This window comes from Homo sapiens, chromosome 6 (genome assembly GCF_000001405.40).
Source record: "Homo sapiens chromosome 6, GRCh38.p14 Primary Assembly".
Taxonomy (NCBI): domain Eukaryota; kingdom Metazoa; phylum Chordata; class Mammalia; order Primates; family Hominidae; genus Homo; species Homo sapiens.
Genome location: NC_000006.12, coordinates 11,165,147 through 11,172,850, shown reverse-complemented (window position 1 = coordinate 11,172,850; position 7,704 = coordinate 11,165,147). Strand labels below are relative to the sequence as shown.

The 7,704-nt window shown below is 46.9% G+C and overlaps 1 annotated feature.

The window, feature by feature from the left end:
• Nucleotides 1–295: an enhancer, noted in NCBI's record as "tiled region #2452; K562 Activating DNase unmatched - State 12:CtcfO". NCBI's record gives its function as "activates a minimal TATA promoter and a strong SV40 promoter by Sharpr-MPRA in K562 cells {active_cell/tissue: K562}" and the evidence as "EXISTENCE:reporter gene assay evidence [ECO:0000049][PMID:27701403]".

The window sequence follows — 7,704 nt, the reverse complement described above, 5'->3', positions numbered from 1 at the left end:
GAAAGGGGGCCCCCAGAAATCCTTTAGAGCGCTGACAGTGCAAATAGCTAGCACCTATTCAGCTCAGGCAACAAGGTCTTTGGGCACCACCTAGGATGTTTTGAAGCCCCTCACGCAGCGACCAGCATTTTGCAGATCTAAGGCTGTGTTCGCCTCGCACGGCGCCCCCTTGTGGTCTGATGGGAAATGAAAGGTGGAGGACAATTGGTTTTTACAACCGATTTCATCTCTAACGTGCCTGGGAAATAGGAATGCTAGTGCAGACCTGATTCGCTGTTGTGAAAATAAGCATTCAAAATAATTCTTAAGCGCTCCACAACCACGTAGCAGTACGATTACTTCCTTGCTGCACATCTCCCTAGCCTCTTGTATATTTCAGACACAGGGCATCTTGGACCATGAGTTCATCTTTCCCATCTCACTACCTAACTAACACAAAGAGTTCAATTCATGTTTGTTGACTGGCTAACTGAACCCAAAGGAATGAATCCACCTCCAAGCTCCTCCACCCCCATCCCACATTGGAGGATCCTTTTTTTTTTTTTTTAAACGGAGTCTGCCTCAGACACTCAAGACTGGACTGCAGTGGAGCTGTGTCCGGAATTGGTGGGTTCTTGGTCTCACTGACTTCAAAAATGAAGCCGCGGATCCTCGCGGTGAGTGTTACAGTTCTTAAAGGCAGCGTGTCTGGAATTTGTTCCTTCTGATGTTCGGATGTGTTCAGAGCTTCTTCCCTCTGGTGGGGTTTGTGGTCTCACTGGCGCATGAGTGAAGCTGTGGACCTTCGCAGTGAGTGTTACAGCTCTTAAGGCTGCCCGTCTGGAGTTGCTCGTTCCTCCCAGTAGGTTCGTGGTCTTGCTGGTTTCAGGAGTGAAGCTGCAGACCTTCACAGTGAGTGTTATAGCTCATAAAGGCAGTGTGGACCCAAAGACTGAGCAGTAGCAAACTTCACTGCAAAAAGCAAAAGAACAAAGCTTCCACAGCGTGGAAAGACACCCGTACAGAAAAGTACCCGAGCGGGTTACCACTGCTGGTGCAGGCAGCCTGCTTTTATTCTCTTATCTGGCCACACCCACATCCTGCTGATTGGTCCATTTTACAGAGAGCCGAGTGGTCTGTTTTGACAGGGCGCTGATTGGTGCGTTTACAATCCCTGAGCTAGACACAAAGGTTCTCCACCTCCCCACTAGATTAGCTAGATACAGAGTGTGGACACAAAGGTTCTCCAAGTCCCCACAAGAGTAGCTAGATACAGAGTGCCGATTGGTGTATTTACAATCCCTTAGCTAGACATAAAGGTTCTCCAAGTCCCGCCCAGACTCAGGAGCCCAGCTGGCGTCACCCAGTGGATCCCGCACGGGGCCGCAGGTGGAGCTACCTGCCAGTCCCGTGCGGTGTGCGCGCACTCCTCAGCCCTTGGGTGGTCGATGGGACTGGGCGCCGTGGAGCAGGGGCGCCGCTCGTCGGGGAGGCTCGGCCGCACAGGAGCTCACGGGCGTGGGGGAGAGGCTCAGGCATGGCAGGCTGCAGGTCCCGAGCCCTGCCCCGCAGGGAGGCAGCTAAGGCCCGGCGAGAAATCGAGAACAGCGCCGGTGGGCCAGCACTGCTGGGGGACCCAGCACACCCTCCGCAGCCGCTGGCCCGGGTGCTGAGCCCCTCATTGCCCGGGGCTGGCAGGCCGCTCCGAGTGCGGGGCCCACCGAGCCCACACCCACCCGGAACTCACGCTGGCCCGCAAGCACCGCGCGCAGCCCCGGTTCCCGCCCGCCCCTCTCCCTCCACACCTCCCTGCAAGCTAAGGGAGCCGGCTCCCGCCTCGGCTAGCCCAGGAAGGGGCTCCCACAGTGCAGCGGTGGGCTGAAGGGCTCCTCGAGTGCCGCCGAAGTGGGCGCCAAGGCCGAGGAGGTGCTGAGAGTGAGCGAGGGCTGTGAGGGCTGCCAGCAGGCTGTCACCTCTCAGCGCCATCTCGGCTCACCGCAACTTGTGCCTCCTCACTGCTTTAGCCTCCCGAGTAGCTTGGATTACAGGCTCCTGCCACCACGTCCCCCTGATTTTTGTATTTTTAGTAGAGACGGGGTTTCACCATGTTGGCCAGGCTGGTCTTGAACTCCTGACCTCAAGTGATCCGCCTGCCTCGGCCTCCCAAAGTGCTGGCATTACAGGCGTGAGCCACCACGCCTGGCTTGGAGGAGCCCTTTAAAGGAAAAAGAACATTGCAGGATCCTTAACAATAACTAAAAATAAAATTCCTTCAAAAGGCAGGATGTAGTGCCCATGAGTTACTGTTGTATTGTTTCCCCTTTATATAACCTTTTTCCACAATTACTTTAGTAACTTTGGTTGTTCTCGTTGAATGTCTATGTGATTTCTCTGCTGTAAGCTCCTGAGGTTGGATTTGCGCTGCACAGCAGATCCCTACAAGTCCCCTTCTCAGTGTTCCTTGAAGATCTTTTGTTTTATTGCTTGTTTCATAGTTCCCCGGGTGATCTCAGCTGCAATATACTCCTTTGCAAAGTTGCTGTAACCAGGCCAAAACCTGTCCCTAGATTTAGAATCCATGGTTTGGGATGACTGTGACGTTAATCACCCCATGCTCTCTGTCAACATGACCCAACACTTTCAGTACATCCCATCCTCATCCTCAGATCCTCATCCTCAGATCTTCAGCACTTACAGCATCTATAGGCCTTTCAACCATTGCACCAGCAAGCAAAACAACAATTATAGAGAAAATGGACAGAAGGCGAAACAAAAGAAAAGTTTTATGATCAATGAGCAAATTATAGGCAAACGTATTCATATTTAAGCATCAGGGGATATTTCATTTGTCCTGAGTAATTGATATGCTTTTTCTCATGGAAACAAGATTTTTGCAATTAACTGATCATGTTTTCCTTTACTGTAAAGGTCAGAGACAAATTTGATGCCCAATATCAGTAACTAGTAACTTATGGGTCCATCTGGGTTTTACATTTTCTCTCCATACCATCTTTTCTACCTAAATTATTCCTCAAAATTATTCCTCATCCTCTCTTTTTTAGCTACTATCTTTTTTTTTTTTTTTTTTCCTGAGATGGAGTCTCACTCTGTCGCCCAGACTGGAGTACAGTGGCACGATCTTGGCTCACTGCAACCTCTGCCTCCAGGGTTCAAGCGATTCTCTTGCCTCAGCTTCCCAAGTAGCTGGGACTACAGGTGCACACCACCACACCCAGCTAATTTTTAAAAAAATATTTTTGGTAGAGACAGGGTTTCACTATGTTGGCCAGGCTGGTCTCAAACTTCTGACCTCAAGTGATCCGCCCACCTCAGCCTCCCAAAGTGCTGGGATTACAGGCATGAGTCACTGCGCCCAGCCTTTAGCTACTATCTTTGATTACATGTGATTAGCCACATGTGAGAGCTCTGATGCTCTCTGAATGTATAAAGAAGCATGGGCTCTGCTCCTCCGTGTGCTGAGCCAATATGTTCCACAGTAGAAAGGGAGGGGCTCCAGAACTGCGGCTCATAGCAAGTTTTCTTCCATATACATCCACCACCAGGGTGCCAGGTGGAACAACTTCATCTGTTGGCAATTTCACACCCTAAATCAATCTTTCCTTGCAACTTCCCCCTGCCTCTGGTGTGAAACTGGCCCAGACTTCCATCTCTGCCATTATCAATCTCCCCTCCAGAAACCAATGCCCTTCCCAGAAATCCGGCATCAGACATGTTTTTATATGTTTGACCCTCAAAGACAGAAGTCAGGGTTAGGATTCCATTTCTTTTTCATTCAGGAGGCACCTCTGCCACTTTGTAATATCATCAATGCAAGCTTGACTTATTGGTGCCTGAAAACATCCAAGCCCGAAATACTCTACCTGGAGCCTGGTCCAGGCCCTACCCAAAGCCCTGCAACATCCATCTGTAAGCTTCATCACTGAAAGGCGCACAGACTTTCCAGCTGCAGGTGGAGGAAGTGCACCCTCCACTCTCCTCACGTTCCCCTAGAAGGGAAGGGCTTCTCTCCATCCTCACACACACACACTGCTCCTTATGACCGTGCCTCCACCTGGCAAGAAACATATTTCAGGCTCCCCACAGGCTGCTTATTAGATGCAAAGGAAAACTAGTAATTTACACCATGGGGAAATCAGTCAACGCCCTGGAGGGGAGGAATGATCAAAATCAACACCGCCAATGAGGTGAGAAGGACATCAGTGTCTCCAGAAATGAGACCTTTTTTGAGACGGATGCAGGATCACTTACGCAGTATTTCATTTTCTCGCCTCATCGTGAGGAAACATCAGACAAACACAATGAAGAACATTTGTTCTGTCTTTAAAAGGCACAGGGAAACTTATTCTGCTGCCTGTCATTGTTATGAAAGATAAAGGAAGGCTGTGGGAATGTTTCTGATTAAAGGAGGCCAGACAGACATGACAACTAGATCCAAATGTCGGGCCCTAGACTGGATCCCATCCCAGAGGAAATAAGAAAGGGCATTATTGGGTCAACTGTCATCATGGAAATACAGACTACCATTGAATAAATTAAATCAATGTTAAATTTACTCAAGTGGATAAATACTCGGTGGTTCTGTAAGAGAATATTCCTATTCTTAGCAAAGATGCACTCAAGTATTCTAGGGTAAAGGTGACTATATAGGCATGCGTGTTTTAGAAAAGCAATTTTATCTGTGTTAACAGTAAGTGGATCTCAGTAAAGGGTGTGTGCTATTGTTAGTCTCAAAGCTTTTCTGAAAATTTGGAATTATTTCCAAATGAAAAGTCAAAACAACAACAACAGCAGTTCAATCTCATCTAGAAGAGTTTGGCCTCAGTAATAGAACCTGGGTTTAAATCTCATCTCTGGCTCTTCAATGAGCTACTTCACTCTCTGCAGATCTTGATCTCCTCACCAATAAAATGGGCATAATCATAGTCGCTGTATCACAGACTTGTTAGAAGACTGAAAATTACAAATTAAACTTTACAAAGCATTGAGAACAGGGTCTGGCACATAGTCAGCTTCATATAAATGTTTAACAAATATATTGCCACCATTCTGAAATTGAAAACAAAAGAAGCACACAAAAATTTTCCAAATCTAAGAATTTCCTCTTGGGATCTGCTGACTGACTAAAATAATGTTAAGTCAACGTTTTCATAGATCGAGCATGAAGTGTGTGTTAATTGTTGGGTGACCAAGCAGAATCAAGTACAGTTGATCAAGCAGGGTTGGAAACGTGGGCGAGCTTAAGCTACTCACGCATTTCACTTTTGCAAAAGCCGTGAGATATATTAAGTAGATATTGAGTTAAAATAAGCACAGATAAAATAACTACTCGGTAATCTTCCAAACACATCTTTGGTATAATACTGAGCTTTCAGGAAATCAAGGGGGGAAATATGATAATATCCTATATGGCCTAGCCTTGCTATAGGATGCAAAGTAATTAAACCTCACAGGAGAATGACTTATTACATACCAAACACGTGGAAAAGGAAAGGCAAAAACTGCCTATCTTTGGCTTCTACAGTAATTTTTTCCTGGAGGAGAGCAGAGTTGGGGCAACTAAGAGTTTCTTTTGAAAGCTCCCAAAGTCTCTGGCCATTTGGCCGGGAAAGCCTTCCTGTCGGCAGGGCCTGAGTGAGCACTGTCTTCAAACCTCCCAGGGTCAGGTAGCTGCAGGCATCTTTGGGAAGCCACATGGTTAAACCTCCAGATTCCAGGAAGATTACTACCTAAAGCATCCAGGTGGATGGCAGGTCAAGGTGACTGCATCGAAGAAGTGTGATGAACGTTCACAGAGGTTTCTGCAAAGATTTACAACTCATCCATCCCTCTAGCTATGCTAAGCTTTATCCTGATCAAGCCAATCCACCCATGAGTTTGCACCTGGACCACACTGTCTTGGCCTCTTAAATCTCATAGAATTCCTCTTACTCTCTGACATGATATGACAGCCCTGCTCCTGTTATAAGAAATAGTTTCACTGTTCTGTTGATAAAGTGATGAACTTTTTTATATTATTACTTTAAACAAGAAATGGATTTAAACAGCAAGACACTTGACTTGAAGGAAAGCTATCTAGGATCATTTATTTTAGAGAAATTTATCCCACCTTAAAAACTGATTGCCGTACATGTAACAGCTGTGTACAAAAAGTCATGAGTCTCCTTGATTTCACAATGATAATTGAAACATATTGGAATTCTCTAATCAAATAAGTATGCAGAGGAGTCTGTTGTTGTCATTGCTATTGTTTGTCAAACAATGAAAGTAAAAAACTAAATGGGAAACAAAAATAAAAGTGGAACAAGCACACCACTAATGCATTCTTTTTTTTTTTTTCCAAGACAGAGTCTTGCTCTGTCACCCAGGCTGGAGTGCAGTGGTGCGATCTCGGCTCACTGAAACCTCTGCCTCCCGGGTTCGAGTGATTCTGCTGCCTCAGCCTCCTGAGAAGATGGGATTACAAGAGCACACCATCATGCCTGGCTAATTTTTGGATTTTTAGTAGAGACGGGGTTTCACCATGTTGGCCGGGCTGGTCTCAAACTCCTGATCTCAGGTGATCTGCCCATCTCGGCCTCCCAAAGTGCTAGGATTACAGGCATGAGCCACCATGCCCGGCCTAAGGGGTTCTTTCATAAGAAGGTTTTTCTCTACCTCATTTTCTTTTATTGTCTATATCACTAGCCATTTAGTTAAAAAAATAATAATAGTGTTATACAATAGATCTGATCACATATGTCAGTTACTTGATGTACAGTGAAGGGAGAGAACAAATGATGGGATAGAGAGAATTATGTGTACAAGTCAGGATGGGCTGGGCTCCAACTGTAATTTGCTAACTGAGAGTGTTTTTGTGTCTGTGGGTTCTGGTGTAAGGTAGTGAATCATGTGCATTTTCTTTTTTTTTTTGAAACGGAGTCTCACTCTATCGCCCAGGCTGGAGTGCAGTGGTGCAGTCTCGGCTCATCACAACCTCCACCTACCAGGCTCAAGCGATTCTCCTGTCTCAGCCTCCCAAGTAGCTGGGATGACAGGTGCGCTCCACTACACCTGGCTAATTTTTGTATTTTTAGTAGAGACGCGGTTTCACCATGTTGGCCAGGCTGGTCTCGAACTCCTGACCTCAAATGATCCACCTGCCTCGGCCTCCCAAAGTGCTGGGATTACAGACGTGAGCTACCGCTCCCGGCCTATCATGTGCATTTTCATCCTTCATTTCCAACTGTGCAGGTGCATCTGTTTCATTGATTATCCGCCCACCAAATTAGAATATGATCAGCCTCGGTGACAAATCCTGGCCTTCACACTAGGTTTATATTTAGTCACTAGTGCTCTGTGTCTCCTCTTCAACAGAATGATCCCATCCTACCTCCTTCTAATGAATTTGATGTCATTTCCTGTTTTGACCCTCCTTGGGTTTTGCATCAGTCGTGGTGACGGCTGAGGACTCCTTGGTTGCCACGCCACAAAAGATATGTCAGGTCTGCACCCCACGAGCATGGGAGAAGCCGAGGAAGGTGCAGCAGGAAGAAGGGAGGAGGGAGTGATGCTTTTAAGTATTCAGCTACACACCAGTGTCTCTTTCTAAGGATCCCCTTGAGAAATTAAAGCCAAGCTCTCCTGAATGGCTGTGTTGGTTGCTGCAGGGCCCAAGGCTTGCTTCTGTGGCCCCTTCTGTTCTCCCTAAGGGAGCTTACCTAGTCC